The 20296-nt window shown below is 37.9% G+C and overlaps 1 protein-coding gene and 1 long non-coding RNA gene across 9 annotated transcripts in view, besides 2 other annotated features; both read left to right on the top strand.

Moving 5' to 3' along the window:
• Window positions 1-20296, top strand: part of EIF3H (eukaryotic translation initiation factor 3 subunit H) — a 124245-nt gene that overhangs the window by 18411 nt on the left and 85538 nt on the right. The window lies entirely within an intron of this gene.
• Window positions 838-14834, top strand: LOC124902006 (uncharacterized). The gene is made up of 2 exons (XR_007061066.1): window positions 838-10727; window positions 13610-14834. It is a non-coding gene; the product is annotated as an uncharacterized LOC124902006 (long non-coding RNA).
• Window positions 17357-17908: an enhancer, noted in NCBI's record as "NANOG hESC enhancer chr8:117742295-117742846 (GRCh37/hg19 assembly coordinates)". NCBI's record gives its function as "activates a minimal SCP1, AML or CMV promoter by ChIP-STARR-seq in primed H9 embryonic stem cells {active_cell/tissue: H9 hESC(primed)}" and the evidence as "EXISTENCE:reporter gene assay evidence [ECO:0000049][PMID:30033119]".
• Window positions 17748-17797: an enhancer, noted in NCBI's record as "active region_27829". NCBI's record gives its function as "activates an Ori minimal core promoter by ATAC-STARR-seq in GM12878 lymphoblastoid cells {active_cell/tissue: GM12878}" and the evidence as "EXISTENCE:reporter gene assay evidence [ECO:0000049][PMID:35858748]".

Here is a 20296-nt window from a genome sequence, read left to right as displayed (position 1 = left end):
AATTTTTTGTATTTATAGTAGAGACGGGGTTTCACCATGTTGGTCAGGATGGTCTCGAACTCCTGGTCTCAGGTGACCCACCCACCTTGGCCTCCCAAAATGTTGGGATTACAGGTGTGAGCCACCGCAGCAGGCTGGTGGGAATGCTTTGTGAGTTGAATCAAATACTTCGAATTTGTAATGCCAGGCTATCACATGTGTCACTGTAGATTTTTTGTGATACTCTTATGAATTTAAAGAGACTGGACAACAGCTTGTTTAAATTCCATTGAAATGGAAGCTCTTCTCTGAGATCCTGGTCTGAAGTATAATACAGTTTGGCCTTTTAATGTTTTAACAACAAAAAAAATTATATGACCCTTGGCCTCTTCTTCCAGTTTTCTGACTTGAGTGGTGCATACGTAAGTTGTTTGACATGTGAGATAATTTTTTCAGTCAGATAATTTGAAATCCTTTCAAGCACCAAAACTTGCACATTTTAGCTATTTTAATTATATGTGTTTCTGAAGTGTAATACATAATTTTCTGCTGCTTTAGTCAGAGAACATGGAACACAATCTAACCATGTTTTGATGGCATAGTATTATCATTAAGAACATGTTATTGGGCCGTGCTCCCGCCTGTAATCCCAGCACTTTGGCAGGCTGAGGTGGGCGGATCACCTGAGGTCAGGAGTTCGAGACCAACCTGGCCAACATGGCGAAACCCCATCTCTACTAAAAATACAAAAGAAATTAGCCGGGCATGATGGCGGATGCCTGTAATCCCAGTTACTCAGGAGGCTGAGGCAGGAGAACTGCTTGAACCTGGGAGGCAGAGGTTGCAGTGAGCCGAGATCACACCACTGCACTCCAACCTGGACGACAGGCAGAGACTCTGTCTCAAAAAAAACAAAAAAACAAAAAAACATGTTATTGAACCAGACAGGACAGTAGATCTGTCAAGAAATCCCTTCGGGTAGTCTGTTATTTCTATAATAAATGTCCCCTGTTGTTGAACTTTAGGTGCCTTGAGTGGTTTATGTTTCTAGTTGGTGCCTTTTTTGGTTGTTAAATTTATCTGTTTCTTATCCCCTTGCTTTTCAGGTTTTTTTTTGCTGTGAGTGAAAAACCAGTTATGCAGGATTATCTCTAACCTGAGTATTTGTGAGTGAGGATTAAATTCGTTATGCAGTCTGACATTTTGATTGCTTAGTTATATTTTTTGCTTAGGCAAGTAAGATGTTATTGCTTACAAATAGTAACTTTTTATAATAGAAAAATCATTTAGCGTACATTATTATATCTTGGTAGCTCCAGGAACTGGGCGGACTAGTATTATCTGGATTATACATGTGATTCTCCCACTCCAAGAAGCTGGGTGGCTTTTCAAAGACATAAAGTGAATATATCCTGGAGCTTGAATTCAGATCACATCTAGCCATCCTTGACTCATTTTCTTTTACATTTTATAGCAGCTTCATATACTTGAAGACCCCAGTAGTTATTCTGTGTTATGTGACAGGTACTGTTTTAAGTATTGTGTATTTATTATGGCATTGAAGCAATACAACAACTCTTTGATATAGGAACCATCATTATCCCTATTTTATCAATGGGGAGACGTGGGTACAAATAGTTTATGTGATTTGATTAATGTACAGATGGAGGAAATAGAAGTTAAGGTGTGTACAGAATAGTTAATCTAGTGCTTCTTGTTTGAGCATTGGGAAATATGTTTTTCAGAACTCAGGTGTCTTACAGACTTCTAACTTTAAAATGTATGAGAAAACATACATTAGAATCTTTACGTTTGATAATCAGTCATATTGTAGAAGATTTGTAGCTATAAGAAGTCAATTTAGTAAATATTCTGAAGTTTGGAAAAATGCAACCTTAAACTGCTGAGTTCACATATTAAGATACTGGGGATCAATAGTAAAGAAAATCAGCATATTAAGGAGCATTGGGAAGAGTACTGGTACGTGTCCCTAAGTAAGTTAGTTTACCTGCATTGGGTGGTAATTCTAAGTCCATCTGACTTTTCCTTTTTTTTTTTTCCTTTGAGACAGAGTCTTGCTCTGTCGACCGGGCTGGGGTGCAGTGGCCCGATCTTGGCTCACTGTGATCTCCACCTCCTAGGTTCAAGCGATTCTCGTGCCCCTCAGCCTCCCGAGTAGCTGTGTGCCACCATGCCCTGCTAATTTTTGTATTTTTAGTAGAGACGGGGTGTTGCCATGTTGGCCAGACTGGTCTTGAACTCCCGGCCTCAAGCAATCCACCCGCCCCAGCCTCCCAAAGTGCTGAGATTATAGGGATGAGACACCACACTGGGCCAGACTTTTCCGTTTTTATGTTCCTCCCAAGATTTGGATAAACCTGCAAACATCCTGGGCCATTGGTCCTTTCTGTTAAGGTCAGACACCTTATTGAAATTCATTGCCATTTGCTTTTTGACAGTGCTTACTGTGTTCGTGACATATATGCTAGTGATGACAATCTATCATTTGTTTCTTGTAGCTGTCTTCTTGGGTATTATTTAAGGCAGCATATGCAGTACTTCTCATGGAGGAGATGACTTAATAAATCAGTTATGATCTCTAGGCCTTAGTTTGATATGAAGATAGTGAATGGCCTTCCTACTGTAATAAAGAGAACCTGAATGGGTAATTTCTTACATTGTTGATATGATTTTTAGTAGTAGATATTGATTTTAATAGTTGGTAATAGTTACTGTTGGATTCCAAACTGGATGGTTTCCCAAGTAAATGGAATATGATCAAAATATTTTAACTTTAGTTGTTACAGCAAATCTGGCCTGGATTTATATGGTTAATGCCTCACATATCTATTTAACATTAAAAGGTGTGGGTGTACAATAAGCATTTTTTATCTTTTGCCTTCTTGTCACCTTTTGCTTCAACTGGTTTCTGTATATGATAAATTTGGATCTTTTGTTCAATATCTTGGACTTCATTGGTTTGGCTGAGCAACTCCAGGTATTTTAAGTCTTGGCAGCAATGCTCTGGACTTGCAGCTCAGTCCTAGCCCATACCTTGGAGAAAAAAGCCTCTACAAAGCATGAAGTTTGAAAAGAATCTTTGCAAGTTCTTATTTTTGTGTTTAGATTTTCTTTTACTTCATCAAGTCTACCATAGGTCGTTTCTTAGATAAAAGCTCCTAATTTTAGCACTTACAGAAAACTTAGTTGCATTTGCTTTCTTTTCAAAATTAGTTTATAATGTTTTTCGTAAAATATTTAATTTACGGTACTTGGATGTTATTTTATTTGGCAAGGTTTTAGATAATATCTTAAAGAGAATATGGCTTCGTTTTTTGTAAACTACTACTGGTAGGTAGATCATTCTTTAAAATGGCTATATGCAGTAAAGATTAGGTTTAATAGCAAAGTGTAGTGTAATTTACTTAGCTGTTTGATGACAAACTGTACTTGTTTCATCAAAACTGAAAGGGCTGAAGTGGATGCTTAAATATGCTGGAGTAATATGCCATATTCTTGTTAATGTTGGTACCATGCTCAAGCATATAAGAGAAAAATTGGATTCAGGAAAAACAGTGATAACTCAGTATTAACTTAGTCAAAATATATATATTTTTAATCCTTTGAGTCTTTGACCCTTTAAACATCAGCTGCATTTTGGCATAAAATTTTAAGATTTTCTTTGCCTCCAAAATAGTACCTAAAGTGGTACTTAAGTGCCACAGATGTTTATTGTATCTTGAGGCTTACTGTTTGTTTTTTTTTTTTTTAATACTTTCTATGTTTCCACCTCTCCCTGTCGCCATCTGATTTTATTTCCTGTCCATTAGTGATAACCACTGTCTACCCAAGTCATGAAGGCTTCTGGTATCGTCTTTGACTATTTCTTGAGGTTTTTCCTAAGATCACTTACTTAGTTCTTTGAATTTATAACTACATTGTCTGTACTGTTCAGTTCTTGCACTCTTTCTCAACTATCACCAAAGCCTGTATAACTGGTCTTACAGACTTTATTTTGTACTTGGACAGTGCTGCTGACTAAGTTATCTTCTCAATGGACAGCTGTAGTCCTAAAACTCAACCCTTTGGAAAATCACTATTACACACAAAATAAAATCAAACTTTATTTCCCAACTTATTTATATATGTGTGTGTGTGTGTGTGTGTGTGTGTGTGTGTGTGTGTTTATATATATATATATATATATATATATATGTATGTATTTTTGAGACAGGGTATCGCTCTGTCGCCCAGGCTGGAGTGCAGTGGTGCGATCTCGGCTCGCTGCAGCCTCCACCTCTGGGGCTCAAGTGATCCTCCCACCTTAGCCTCCCTAGTAGCTGGGACCATAATGGGTGCATGTTACCACACCTAGCTAATTTTTGTTTTTGTTTTGTATTTTTAGTAGAGATGGGGTTTCGCCATGTTGACCAGGCTAGTCTTGAACTCCTGGCCTCAAGTGATCCGCCTGCCTCAGCCTCCCAAAGTACTGGGATTATAGGCATGAGCCACTGTGCCTGGCCTATTATTTTTTGAGACAGGATCTTGCTCTGTTGCCCAGGCTGGAGTGTAGTGGTGCAGTCATGGCTCACCACAGCTTCCCACTCCTGGGCTTGAGTGATCCTCCTCCTCAGCCTTCTAGTAGCTGGGACTATAGGTGTGTGCAACCTTGCCTGGCTAATTTTTTTATTTTTCTTTTGTAGAGATGGGGCCTCTATATTGACCAGGCTGGTTTTGAACTCCTGGCCTTAAGGTGATCCCCCTGCCTTGGCCTCCCAAAGCGCTAGTATTACAGGTGTGAGCCACCACCACCTGGCCTTGCCTGCCAGCTTTTGTTTTCATCCTCCAAACGAGGGCTTGTAGATGGTGTTTTCAAGTGTGGTTTACTGGTAGCCTTTAAAACAAAATAAAAAGTATTTCCTTTTGGAGAGAAGAAAACTCCCATTTTACATTTTACACAGAAATGCATCAGCTTTGGTTTCATTCTAAAGGACCTCTTGACTAGAAAGATGATGAATAACCACCTTGTGGACTTACTGTGGTGCGCTTTTTATACAGGAAAATGGGAACCCTTTTAATTTATTAAACCTGTTTAAACACAGCCATTACACTGGATAATACATGCATATGGCACACAAATCAAAGACAAAGTGAAAGTATATAGTGAAGAGAAACTCTCACTGTCATCCCTGTCTTCCAAGCACCCTCTTCCCAGAGGCAATCATAGTTGCTTTATACATGTTTCCTTCTGCACTTACCTTAGCAAGGAGGCAGAAACAAATTATAATGAGAGTGCCCCCAAATCACCTAAAGTCCTGCCTTCTATTTAAGCAGTGGCCAGTGCTCCTGAATCTAATAAACTTGAATGTAATAAACTTAGAATGTGTTAGAAGGTAGATCTTAACAATTCTGAAAAGTTTTTTGTTTTATGAGAAAGGAAATGAATTTTGTTCCAGCTAAGCTTTTTAATCACTCATATTATTTTAGAAAAATTACCAACCAGGTACATGTGGGAAAATTTGCAGGTTGGTTATATATATTGAATTGGTAAAGCAGAAACTTATAAATTAAACATCTTATCAGTTAATTCTTAATTATGATTATATATTTGTACATTTGATTGCATCATTATACTTACATGTGACTAATTTTTATAAGATTAGTACCATTCTTTTGAATTTCTTGAGGCTAAATCCTCTATCTTCTCTTTTTCCCAACAATTATTAGTTGATTTAACTTTAAAAATGTGGACCATCAGTGAGCATTAGATCCAAGAGAATAGCAATGAAATATGCCCTTTCAAACTGAAATATTATAGAGGTTGATATTGATTAAGTGTATTGGAGCATTGTAACTAATCCCATGTGTGTCAGGAGCAGAAAATCTTTTTTTTTTTTTTCCTATTGAAGTTACTTAAATTTCTTTCACATCAAACTTAACAGCAGTGATTTAAATCCCGTTTATTATTTGACTCAGCCAGTTATGAAATGGAACCCTATCCCACTTGAGCCATAAAATGTGTTAAATTTAAGACTAATGCAGCTTTCTGCTTTTTGAATTTACATTTTGGCAATAACTACCATCTTTGTTCAGTGTTAGAAAAAATTATCTAGGCTTAACCAAATAAGAAAACTGCCAAGTTCACAGACCAGTCAGTGAAAGAAGCCAGAATTAAATGAAAGTCTACAGAATTAAATGAAAGTCTAGATACTGACTTTGCAGAATATGCTAAAGGGAGATCTTACAGCATTACAGTTTCTTTGAGAATAAAAATCTTCTACAGTAATAGCTGTTCTTTGACGGTGATTGATGTGAGAAATTCAGGCTGTGGGCCTTACCTCCCAGAAGCTACAAAACTGTAATAAAGCCGAGTAGGAATTGTGCATCCTGCCTGACCTCTTCTTCAACTAGGCAGTGACTGGTATAGTTTGAGCTTTGTCTTTTTTATTTCAGACTTTTAAGAAACTTGTGGACTGTACTTTGTCTTTAATGATGTTTTAAGGGAAAATTACACATAAACACACATATGTATACAGAATATTTTGAGTAAATTTAATTGAACTCTTTTTAATGCAGATTCAAAACATCGTGTTGTAAAACTTTGTGGTATTGGTTGTTATGAGAGATAGTATGTCCAGCTGATTGATGCGTCTTAAAGAAAATGGAAGTTTGGCATCAGTTGGGTTAATAAGTTATAATTCACCTCTTATTAGGCTGAAAAAAAAATCTCTGAGGAATGAACTGAAAACATTCTGGGGAGACAAGTGTCTGTGCCATAAGGGTAACTAGGCATATTTTAGTCACTAAATATTCCTTGGATGGACAGATGGATAGATGAATGAATGAGAATAGGTGAAATATGACAATTCTAAAAAAAAGATAGAAAAAATTAAAAAAGAAATCAGACTTGATGATTCTAAAACATAAAAAGGAAAAAAGAGAAGAGGTGAAATGTTTGTTGTGATAGTTGTTATAATAGTAGCTAACATTTACTGAGGACTTACTAGTAATTGTGTGCTAGGTAGTTTGAGTGGGATTATTTTTTAATCTTTGCAACAGTGCTTGAGATTGGTACTGTCTTTATAGGAGGAAGGTATGGGTAGGGTAGATAAGGTAACCTGCCTAAGGCCGCAGGGCTGGCACTCAAACTTTGTTTTGGATTCTGGTTCCCAGCCCCTCAACCACTCTGCTGTAGGATTTTTCTGTTTGTGTAGACTACAGGGTTGGGGAGTTAGTCACATTGGTGTGTACATTCATAAGAATTCATGTTTAAGCTTTTACTAAAATTTTTTTCTTTTACTCAAACATTACATTTTTGCAAAGAAATAAAGATTTCTAGAATAACTGTGTACTAGACAACAAGTAGAAGACAGCAGTGAGAGGTTTGAATGTTGGGGTTTCATCTGGGCTTACTCACTGAATAAATAAATCACTGTCTTACAGAAGTTGTGATTCAAAGTGGGCCCTGCTGCTGAAAAAAGTTTGTTTTTACCATTCTTAAAAATACGATGTTCAGAATAGAATTAGAGCTAAGGGAGTCGTGATCTGACCTCAGTGGAGGAGTATGCCTGTCATCTCCTGTAGAAGCAGCAAGGAGTGGCAGAGAAAACTATTCATTTCTTGCTCTTCTCAACTACTGCCACAGTCTTATGCCACTGGGCTTACAGTTACATAAGTGCTTGGTAGCTACACAGTTTGGAGCTCATGTCTATTGTGGTCACGTATTTTGAGAGACTTCGTGACATAAATTAAGAAGTGTTTGCTTCTGTAGTCTAAATGCTCAGTTTTGGGAGTTGGGAAATAACTGTTTACGTGCTTAATGTTACTGATTCTGTAAACCAGTGCTATTCAAAGTATGAGGTATGGTTTGGGAACACTGGTCTGCACAGTATAAACACAGGGTTAAGATAGAGTGTTTAGAAACTTTTATTATAGTAGTTTGACACTGCTGTGATATCCAAGTGATATCCCTGGGCTTTGTGTGTGTGTGTGTTTTATTTTCATCTTTCTAGTGAGTAATTTTTATTGTATTTTACTAAAGTGTTGGTCTGTGATAGATTGGGGGAAAATGGGTTCTTTACCACTGATAACCTGAGAAGCATTGCTGTAAACTATTTTCATGTCTATTTTGGCTAATGGCATCTTCCTGTAACCAGAGTTGCCGAGACCAGCTCAGTCGGGGAGACCCTAACCCAGCGGCGCTAGAGGAATTAAAGACACACACAGAGAAACATGGAGTGTGGAGTGGGAAATCAGGGGTCTCACAGCCTTCAGAGCTGAGAGTCTCCAACAGAGATTTACCCACATATTTATTGATTGATTTATTTATTTTTCTGAGACGGAGTCTCGCTCTGTTGCCCAGGCTGGAGTGCAGTGGCACCATCTCGGCTCACTGCAAGCTCCGCCTCCCAGGTTCACACCATTCTCCTGCCTCAGCCTCCCGAGTAGCTGGGACTGCAGGCGCCCATCACCACGCCCGGCTAATTTTTTGTATGTTTAGTAGAGATGGGGTTTCACCGTTTTAGCCAGGATGGTCTCGATCTCCTGACCTCGTGATCTGCCCGCCGCGGCCTCCAAAAGTGCTGGGATTACAGGCGTGAGCCATGGCGCCCGGCCGCCACATATTTATTGACAGCAAGCCAGTGATAAGCATTGTTTCTGTAGGTTATAGATTAACTGAAAGTATTCCTTACGGGAAATAAAGGGATGGGCCTAAATAAAGGGATGGGTCTGGCTAGTTATCTGCAGCAGAAGCTAGTTAAGACTTGAGCATGTCCTTAAGAAGCAGGAACATGTCCTTAAGGCACGGATCGCTCATGCTGTTGTTTGTGGTTTGAGAACACCTTTAAGCGGTTTTCTGCCCTGGGTGGTCCAGGTGTTCCTTGCTCTTATTCCAGTAAACTGACTGCCTTCCAGTGTGGGTGTCAAGGCCATCAGGAGCATGTCACAGTGCTGCAGAGGTTTTGTTTATTGCCAGTTTTGGGGCCACTTTATGGCCGGATTTTGGGGCCTGTTCCCAACAAGAGTAATAATTTAATAATTTAATTGAACTGTATTTAAAATAGTATTGTGATCACTAAATACCATTACATTAGATTTACTTAACTTTTAAGTTAGTTTTAGTGGTAAAACATTTTAATAATTCAGTGTTTTTTAATACTGTGAAATGTTTAAAAAGATGAACAGGTTGTAACCTCGGCATTCCGTAGCTCAGCTTTATAAAGCAGGCTTAAAAATGATAGGTGGTATGGTTCTAACAGTTTAAAATTACTTCCGTCCCTAATTATTTTAGCAGGGCTTTTCAGCAGATCCTTATTGTGTCTGTTACAAAGATGATGGGAAACCTGCTTTTCCTGGTGAAGGTTTATTGTAGTAAGTTTGAACAAATTGTTCAATTGTTGAAGCATAAGTTAGGCTTCTCTTAAACGGCCTTTCTGCTTGTTGAAAACCAGGCCAGACGTTAGTTACCTCTTTATGTTGATGGTGTGTGTATATGTGCATATTTTCTGGCAATTTGTATATATGTGTGCAGTGATATTCACAGAGTTGAAGAGGAGTCAGGTTAACAAGAGATGAGAATTTAAAATCAGCAGATGCTTTGGCTTGTAGTGTGTGGGCTTCTTTTTCTCATCCTTTCAAGTCTTAACTGCTTCATTCAGCCCATATTTTACAAATGTAAAGGAACCTGCTAAAATCAAGATATATTATGTGTCCATCATTGTCAACTCAGTAGTACTGTCAGAAAAAATGAAACGTTAGTTTGTTCTATTTTGTGAAACTCCACATAGCAAATCAGTTACTGCTGTATTTTAAAAATCTTTTTCCTTAGTTTTTTTTGATGCTTTTTGAATTAAAAACAAACACATGCTCCATTCTAGTATAACTAAAATGCAGATGTATAAAGGAAGAAGTATGTCCGTCCATACCATTCTTTTTTTTTTTTTTTTTTTGAGATGGAGCCTCGCTGTGTCGCCCAGGCTGGAGTGCAATAGTGCGATCTCGGCTCATTGCAACCTCCGCTTCCTGGGTTCAAGCGATTCTCCTGCCTCAGCCTCCAGAGTAGCTGGGACTACTGTTGCACACCACCAGGCCTGGCTACTTTTTTGTATGTTAGTAGAGATGGGGTTTTACCATGTTGCCCAGGCTGGTCTCGAACTCCTGAGCTCAGGCAATCCGCCCAGTTGGGCCTCCCAAAGTGCTAGGATTACAGGTATGAGCCACCCGCACCTGGCCTCATTGTTCTTCATTCAAACACGTAACTGCATGTAGGTAATAAGTTTTTATTACTATTAATTTTTTTTAAAATTTTTTTATTTTTTATTTTTTTTGAGACAGAGTCTCACTCTGTTGCCCAGGCTGGAGTGCAGTGGTGGGATCTCAGCTCACTGCATCCTCCGCCTCCCAGGTTCAAGTGATTCTCCTGCATTCAGCCTCCCGAGTAGCTGGGGTTACAGGTGCCAGCCACCATATCTGGCCAATATTTTGTGTTTTTAGTAGAGATGGGTTTCACCATGTTGGCCAGAGTGGTCTCGAACTCCTGACCTCAGGTAATCGGTCTGCCTCAGCCTCCCAGAGTGCTGGGATTACAGGCACAAGCCACTGCGCCCAGCCCTATTAATTTTTAAAACTTTATTTTTGGGTTATGGGCTTTTTTGGGAATTTGAAGAATGACAAAGTCTTTTTTTTTTCTTCCCCAGGGAAATGCCTTCAAGTACGTAGATAGAAAATATTGCTGATGATTTTAAGAGGTTCGTAGATCTTTTCAAATGCCTACCTGTCCTTCAGGTTTGAATGTTTGTTTTTAGGGCTTGCACACTTTGAGAAGTATGCTTTTTGATATAGAATATTGGGTAGTGTGAATTTTTAAAAAAATCATGTCTTTTTGGGCAGGGAGATGGTAAATATTTTAACATTTTCCAATTTCTTTGAATTTGTTTTACGTAAACAGGCTTTTCTAGGAACAAATTATCTGTTGTCTAAATAATCTCATTAAATTCCAAAATACTGTAAACAGCAAAATTCTAAGCAGTATACTTTGTCTTCAACAATAATACAATTTAATTTATTTTTGGTGACCTAGGTTTATTAAAAACATGAGTCAATAGATATTTATTTTATATTATACATAATAGGTAGGGTTATAGTTGTGGTTCTTAGCTCTTTGGGTATTATAGCATCTCAGGGGACCTTTGAACTCTGAAATTGAGAGTAAAATTGGGAGTCAGCGCATGTATGAATTGTTTCTTCATCAGACTTTTAAAGTGTGTACAGTTTTGTTCAGTTAAGGTATTTATACAAAATAAATTCCACCTTTTTTTTTTGTGAGACGGAGTCTTGCTCTGTCGCCCAGGCTGGAGTGCAAAGGCGCGATCTCGGCTCCCTGCAAACTCTGCCTCCCCGGTTGAAACGGTTCCCCTGCCTCAGCCTCCCAAGTAGCTGGAACTATAGGCGCGTGCCACCACGCCCAGCTAATTTTTTTGTATTTTTAGTAGAGGTGGGGTTTCACCGTGTTAGTCAGGATGGTCTCAATCTCCTGACCCCGTGATCCGCTGGCCTCAGCCTCCTGAAGTGCTGGGATTACAGGTGTGAGCCACCGCGCCTGGCAATTCCACTCATTTTAAATGCACAGTTGGATGAACTTTAGTAACTATAAACAATTGTTTAACTGCTACCACAATCAAGATGTATTAATAGAATAGTTTCCCCACTTGGAGAGTTTCCTGGTATCCTTCTGCAGTCAGTATTTGCCTTCTCACCTTGGCCCTAGGCAACCACTTATCTATCAGCTTCCTGTTACTATTGTTTTGCCTTTTCTAGAATTTCATATAAATGAAATCATATGTGTCATACATAACATTTTGTTTAACTTCTTTCACTTTGCATGTTTTTGAGATTTCTCCTTGTTTTGTCTATTGGTATTTTACCTTTTTATTGTTGAGTATAATTCCATAGAATAGATATACAGGTTGAACATCCCTAATTGCAAAATCCAGAATTTGAAAAGTTCCAAAATGTGAAGCTTTTTCAGCGCTGATATGATGCCACATTGGAAAATTCCACACCTGACTTCATGTGATGGATTGTTGTCAAAACACAGTTGCACACCACACAGTTTATTCGGGGTCTCCAAGGGAAAAAAGACCCTCCCAGCCTCCTTTAGCTGTGTTACGTTTTTTTTTTTTTTCTGCATGCCCAAATCGCCTCCTGCAAGCATACCTGCAGAGCGTAATAAAGTGGGGGCTTGATACATCAACAGCAGATTCCCCACGATGATCCACATGGGGCCAAGACGACCTATTTGCATTACTCATTATGTGGTGGTGGTGGTGGTGTTTTGGCTTATTCTCTGCTCTGTGGCGTAAAGATAGGGTTGAAAATGCAACTATTCCAAACTCTAAAACACTTGTCGTCCCAAGCATTTTGGATAAGGGATACTCAACCTGTGCTGCAGTTTATTCATCTGCATTTGGTGGTTTGGGTTGATTCCGGTTTTTAGCTGTTATGAATAATGCTACCATGAACATTTGTAGACATGTCTTTGTGTGGATGTTTTTATTTCTCTTGGGTAGATTCCTGGGACTAGGTATAGTCATTTGGTGCGTTTATGTTTAGCTTATAAGATACTGTAGTTACTGTTTTCTGCTTTCGCACTAGCAATTTTCATAGAGTTGAAGCTTTTTAGAAAGGTCTCAGTTTCTACTTTCGTGGCTCAGCCAAGTTCAAAACTCCATATCCTGACCCAAGAACAGAGATTGGATTATTACTTAGCTCCTAGGTTTTGCAGATTATGTCTATGTCTGATGTATTTTGGGGCATGGCTGCATTAACTTGCAGGTCCTGAAAGTCCAATGTGTTTCTTGAATAGTTTTCTTTTTACCTCTGAACTTTATTGGAGTTGCAACCTATATTGGAGGAATTCTGGTGTTAGCTTCATAGACATGCCTACTAGGTAAAGATTGACCCTGACCCTGGCATTAGGAATACGCATATTGCTAATTAAAAGCTATGGTAACTTTTCCTGAAAGGATTTTACTAGTATATTGTGTTTTATAATTCATTAACAAAAAATAAATGAAATTGGTAGTTTTGAATTACTTAATGTTATTTTAAGATATAACTGTTCCTGCTTGGCATGGTGGCTCACGCCTGTAATCCTAGCACTTTTGGAGGCCCCGGGTGGGTAGATCACTTGAGGCCAGGAGTGTGAGACCAGCCTGGCCAACATGGTGAAACCCTGTCTCCACTAGAAATACAGAACAAACTTAGCCGGGTGTGGTGGCGTGCACCTGTAATTCCAGCTACTAGGGAGGCTGAGGCAGGAGAATCACTTGAACCTGGGAGGCAGAGGTTGCAGTGAGTTGGGATCATGCCACTGCACTCCAGCCTGTGTGACAGAGCGAGATCCTGTCTCAAAAACAAACAACTTTCTGCCAGTAGGTGGGGTTATTATTTATCTACCAGTTCTTTTAGTAAAAACGTGAACGTGTATCACTCCCACCCTAGTGCTTATCCATCTAGAGGCCTTTTTCTTCCCCTAAAATACAACTTGTGTGATTTATGAAATGTAAATATTAGCATTTTTATTAAAAGATTAAAAATCCATAGTCGTCAAGTATTCTCTTCTCCCAAGTTTTCATAGGGCTGATGGCTTGTTCTTCAGTTCTCTGGTCAGGTATCCTCTCAGAAGCCCTTCCTGGATCCCCCTAAGGTAAGGCTGCTTCCCTGCCCCTCCTTGTTACATTTCCCCTTTTCTTAGCAATTTCCGCAATCTGTAATCACATTAATTTTCCTAATTGTCATTCTAGAATAGTGGCTCCTAAAGTGTGAGGATCTTGGACACCCTTTTAGAGAGTCTCCAAGGTCAAAACTTATTTTCATAATAATACATAATTTGCCATTTTTACTCTCATTCTTTCACGACTGTTTAATGGAGGTTTCCAGATGCTACATGATTAGTGTGATATCATAAAGGATTGACTGCAAGAACAGATACGATTATCCATCTGTTTTCTATTAAACCAGATATTAAAAAGATTTACAAAAATGTAAAACTATGTTTCTCCTCTCCTGGATTAAATTTTTTTTGAAAATGTAGATTTTTTACAAAAATGTGAAACATTGTCATTCTAATATTCTGATAAAATTACCTTGTTTTATAAAATATTTTTCATTAAAACATAGTTTATATTAGCATGTAATGCATTTATTTTTAATTTTTTTCAAAGCTTGCAATAGAGGTTATTTTTAAGAGAAATAAATATTTCAGACATTTCTTGGTTTGAATTTCTGATATGCAGATATCAATGTATAAGATTTTTGGGGGTCCATGAAAATTTTAGGGATTTTTAAAATTTTTTAAGAGTTTGTTTTTTTTTTAAATTTTAAAGGGCCTTGAAATACATGAAATATCTTTAGTCTTTGTTCTTGGTTTCTGTCACACTGTTCCCCAAACCTTTAGGATTTCCTGAGTGATAGGACTGTCTTTTATTCATAATGCTTTTTCTTTGATCACACCTGAGTTAATGCTAATGAGGTGATTTAGGTCAGGCCCCTCAGGATGGAGCAGGTCACCCAAAAGAGCAAGTGATTAGAAGGTTGGAACCTTCAGCCCCACTGACCTCTGGGAAAGAGGGTAGGTGGGCTGGAGATGAAGCTCCGTTAAGCTCTGTAAAAACTCTTGTGCAAGATTTGATGAGCTTTTGGGTTTCCAAACACTTGGAGGAGCTGGGAGGATGCAGGCCCAGAGAAGCTCTGCCCCCTAACCTCCAATACTTTCTCCTGTGCATCTCTTCATCTGGCTTTTCATTTGTGTCCTTTGTCATGTCCTTTATAATAAAGTGATAAATGTAAGTAAAGTGTTTCTCTGGATTCTGTGAGTCATTCTAGCAAATTACTGAATCTGAGGAGGGTTTTGTGGGAACTCCTGATTTATAACTGGTTGGTCAGAAGTACTGGAGGCCTGGATTTGGGATTGGCATCTGAAGTGAGGGCAGTCTTGTAGGACTGTGTCCTTAACTTTGGGAATCTGACACTAACTCCAGGAAGATAGTGTCAAAAATTGAATTAAATTGTAAGATACCCAGCTGGTGTTGGGCGAATTGAAGAATTACGTGGTATAGAAAGAACCCACACATCTGGTGTCAGCAGTGTTGTGTGAGAATAAAGAGAAACAGTGTGTTTGAGACTTGCTGTTCTAAAAATATGAGCCCCATGAAAGTAAGACCTATGTGTTTGATTTAGTTTCATATTCCCAGGGCCTGGCAGAGGTGACTGATCTGAAAAGTCACTCAGTAAATATCTAAGTGAATGAATGAATGAATGAATGAATGAGGGAATGAAAGAAGTCAAAATAACAGAAGCCTAGTGATTCTATGCAGAAAGATTTCAAATCTTTCTGTAGTTACTGGTCTATGCAGACATTATGTTTGATAGGAAATTATTCTAGTTCATCAGAAAGCTTTAATATTTATTTTGGTCAAATTTGAACTGTTCCCTGTCATGGAACTGAGTCTTTGATATGATTTTGATAGGGAGGTCTTAGAGATTCTGTTAAATCTTTCCCTTTAGGAAGGATGAGAGATTTTACCTGCCATCCTTAACTCTTCTAAATTTTAGATTTATTGACTTATAATGTTATTTATTTGGCTATTTTAGATTGGTATTTATATTTTACCCTATAATACAGAGAATACTTGTCATAGAAGTTAAATCCGTTCTTGCTTTTAGATTTTTGGGCAAAGATAGGTTTTAATTTTTTTTTTTTAAAGCCAGACACTTTAAAAAGTAGCATTGTGTTCATTAGAGATGGCGTATAGTCTGCTTTGCTTTTTCAAATAGTTTGCACTGAATAATGAACAATAGTAGAAAACTGTTCCCTGCAGGGTAATTTCAGCAGACAGGACATCTGTTTACTATCTTGCAGGTTGGGATTCCTTGAAGATCTGCCCAACTTGAGACTGTGTAAACTTCAGAAATCTGGGAAACAGTTTGAGAGACAACTGACCTAATCAGAGAACAATACTTACTGTTTAGGGCACATAGAGTAGTTTAAGCATTTACACCCAGAACATGACAAAGTTTCAGAAGGTGTAGAAGAATTTGCTAAGTTGGGTTTCTACTGGCAAGTTTGCTTCTGTCCCTTGAGGCATAATTCATGGAAGAATCCTCATTTACCCACTAATTTATAGGGTAAACAAATCTAGTCAGCATCGGTTCTTAACAGTCTTAGATAACGGGGTCAGATGCTAAGGTGTAAGTCTTACTGTGCTGCAGAAAACATGAATGTTTCAAGATGGGTTGCTGGTATTACCTTCCCTCTTGTTTATATGCTGTAGAGATTGTTCCAACTAGGGCTTGAATTCCTCTTATTAGGGTGATATTTATGCTTTTATAAACAACATGTTCACTTTTGGGTCTGTATTTCTCAGTGCCTTCACTTTTCAGCAACCCACGAAGTCTTAAAACAGAGGAAAGGAAATTGGGGTTTGACCAGCAGTGTATTGTAGTCACCTGAGGAGTTACAACAAAACAAAAACAAAGGAAAGCTAGGCCATACAACTTCATTAGAAATTAGAACTAAATAGGATGTTAGAGTAAGTTGGAGAACTAAAAACAGACACCACCTACCAAACCCAGTATAGGAACCCAGCCGGTATCAGTTAGCTGAATTTCAGGAGTGTGCTCACGCATTAGTATACTTTAAAGCTCCCCAGATGGCTCTAATGTGTATCCAGAATGAGGACCCCTCTTCATTTATCTAAAAAAAGCTCTTTAGGTGATTTTGCTCAGCTGGGAATGAGTAAATAGGGCTCCTGAGTGTATATGTATCACAAATGTGGGGTCATTTGTGATACATATAAGCAAAATATAACAGGAGAGTGTTTTTGTTTTGAAGAATGGTTAAGCTTTCCATGTGTCTTTTTCAGCCTTGCTGTTATCAACATATTTGGTGCACTCAGTTTGGTATCACTCATTTATTGTGAAGTAATTAGAAGTGCTTTGGACTCAGAAGTCAGATCTCACTTCCCTGGCTAAATTCCCTGTCAGCTTATCTTTGTTTCCTTATGTAAAATGGGAAAATAATATAACTGACTTCACAGGGTGGTTGTAAGGATTAAATGAGTCCTTGCACGTAAGACGGTGGAGTGCTTGACATATCATAAGTGATAAGTGTTTGCCATTCATTCCTTCAGCAAAATATATTTTGAGTATCTTTTATGTGCCAGTATCTGTGTTAGGTGTTGAAGATGTGGTGAGTAAATCATCCTTTCATTTTTATGGGAACATTCACGAGGGGAAACAATGAGCACAACATGGATTCTGTCTCTATTAAAAGATACTTCGAATCTATGAAACTTTGAAATATATATACATGGCAAATTCTTGGTTATCTATGTAGAATAGCAGAAGTATGTATGTCATTTAGTTATATTTAATCAGGAATTTCCTTTCCTTTTAACATTTAAATCAGTGTCTGCAACCTTTCTGGCACCAGGGACTGGTTTCGTGAAAGACAGTTTTTCCACGTGGGGGGTTGCGGGGATGTGAGAGGATGGTTTCTGGATGACACTGTTCCACTTCAGATTGTCAGGCATTAGATTCTTCAAAGGAGCATGCAACCTAGCTCCCTTGTATGTGCAGTTCACAGTAAAGGTTTGTGCTCCTATGAGAATCAGTGCCACTGGTCACCTGACAGGAGACAGAGCTTAGGCAGTTTACCTCCTGCTGTGCAGCCAGGTTGCTATCAGGCCACAGAGCAGTTCCCGAGCAGTACCTGTCCGTGGCCTTGGGGTTGGGAACCCCTGCTCCAAATGAATCCTACTGTAAGGCATTTCCATGACATTACTTCTTGAACTAAAGAACTGAGGTTTTAGTGTGTATGTAGGAAATAGGACGATCATAAAATGTCACAATGAAGAATGAGCTAGCTTAGTTTTGATAATAGTGATTTTTTCCTGAGTACTTTATCAGATTATATTAAAATGACAAGATCATAAATATTAAAGTTGGAAATTATTTTAGTGATTGAGTCTTTCCTGAATGCTTTCTTTTTTGGACAGCCTTCAGTACTAGAGAGAATTTATCCTTAGAGTTGAAATCTTCTTTCCAGAAACTGTCACCTGTGGTTCTTAGGTTTTGCCTTCAAAGTAAGACTAATCCTCTAAGCAGCCAAAGAACTCTTCAGTATTTGGAAAGTGCTTTTTTTGAGTGTCCCTTGCCTAGAGAGAGATTTGCATTAATTTTACTGGTTCTCATCACAGGATTTTAAGCTTTCTCTCTTGTAATTACCCTTTTCTGTGGATTCTTACTCATACTGATTGTTTTTTGTGCTTTTCTCATTTCTTAGTTTGGTACTGTTACTGGTAAATTTTCTCTTGGGTCATTGTAAAGAACTGAGGATAACAGTTCAGTGATGTCGAAAGAGCGAGATAATTATTTCTTTTACTTGGAGCGCTGTATTCTATTGATACTACATAAAATTGCATTGGCTGTTTGGCAAGCATGTCAAGCCTGGTGTGCTGTTTGGTTACATTATCCTTACTGATCCCTTTAGAATTCACTTTTGTTAGAGTTAAGACAGTTTTCAATATAGTTTGAACTGTAATAACTTGTTTTAAAATATATTAATTTTTTTATTGCTATTTTCTTCATAACTGGAAATGAGGTTATTTTCATCTGGCTTCTTTATGAAACTGTGCTGGTCCTAGTCACCAGTATTCCCTTTTGCATATGTAGGAATCAGCTGTTTAGGAATCACTTCTAGAATTTGTCTGAAGAACTATGTTAAGCTCATATATCTTCTAATATCTCTTGTTTACTTTGATTTCAGTAGTGGTTTAGCAATCTCATTAGTAGGGGTAAGTATAAAGGAATCTAGGTAACCTAGGTGAATTGGTAGTTGTGTTTGTAATAACTCTTTATCAGTTTAGTTTATCCCGTCTTGATCACCTGTATTTGTTCTATTTTTTAAGTGTAGAAATAATTTTTCTTGGCAGAGAGGTATGTTGAATAAGCATTAAATAGTTATTGACAAATATCAACAATATTGGTCATTTATTGAGCACTTACTATGTGGCAGACTCTGTGCAGAGAACTCTATACTGTGTCATTTTTAGTAGTGTCAGTAATGCTATGAAATAGTGCTATTTTGCAAATTAGAATCTAAGGCTTGAGAAGATTAAATAGCTTTCTCAAGGTCACAGCTAGTAAATGCTGGAGCTGGAACTCATACCCATACTTGTATGACTCATCAAGTCCATTTTTGTGCCTTTCAAGAAGTGGAGAGGTCTTTCATACAGGAATGTGTAGGTTGTGCACTTTCATTTCGTAGTATTGAAGGTCTGCCAATCTTATTAGTTGGTGTTACTCCATTTTGAGCTCTTTTCCCTGCTGACTGCTTGCTCTCCTTTGGAGTTCTGTATCTTACTGGTGTAGTCTTTTTGGGTCTATTCATAACACAGTTTTTACTGCATATCTGTTGTCTATTACTACCTGGTTATTTTAACTATCAATTTAGTTACTAATATGAAAATCATCTCCCAGGTTTAAAAACTAGGTTTAAAAACCTACTTTTAAACCTAAAACTAGGTTTAAACTAGGTTTAAATCTTGGCTCTACTACTTCCTAGATGTGTGACCTTTAGCCATTTACTTAATTTCTCTCTGCCTCAGTTTTCTTATCTATAAAATGAGTATTAACAGTACCTTTCTCCTAAGGTGGTTGTGAGAATTACATGATAGGGTAATACATGTGAAATAATTAGATTATTGCCTGTCATACAATGTTTAGTAAATGTAATGTGCTGTTATTAACTGGTCATTAGTTTCTTTTTTTCTTTCATAATTGGTTTATTGGTCGTGTTGATGATCAGTACACAGACATTTCAATTTGTACACAATTCTTAACATATATACTGAAAATCTAAAAAGCCATGTGTTGTAATTTTTAAAAAGTTATTTCAGTGACTTTCCAGCTTAAAATTGGGAAGCAAATTTTCCATAAGAGGCTATCAAGTACCAGTATCTTCACATGTTAGTAAGCTGTTACATAGATCTCACCAATTCACAGTATAATACCATATAGACTACATACTCAAATTTTCAATCTTCCACAGCACATTAACAAAGTTCATTAGAAAAGCAGGACTACCACGACCAAAGATGTTACAGTGCACAGAATTATGACAGGGAGAGCCATGATCAAAGAGTGTTTTTCTTTAGGAAACAATTCTACTAAAAAATAATGTGGGAATGAAAGTAATTTAAAATGTTCAAGACATTAAATGCAGGACTGCAACTCCATATTGCCATTTAGTATG

The sequence above is a fragment of the Homo sapiens genome, chromosome 8 (genome assembly GCF_000001405.40).
Source record: "Homo sapiens chromosome 8, GRCh38.p14 Primary Assembly".
NCBI classification, from domain to species: domain Eukaryota; kingdom Metazoa; phylum Chordata; class Mammalia; order Primates; family Hominidae; genus Homo; species Homo sapiens.
The sequence above is the reverse complement of the archived record's forward strand: the minus strand, read 5'-3'. Positions and strand labels throughout refer to the sequence as shown.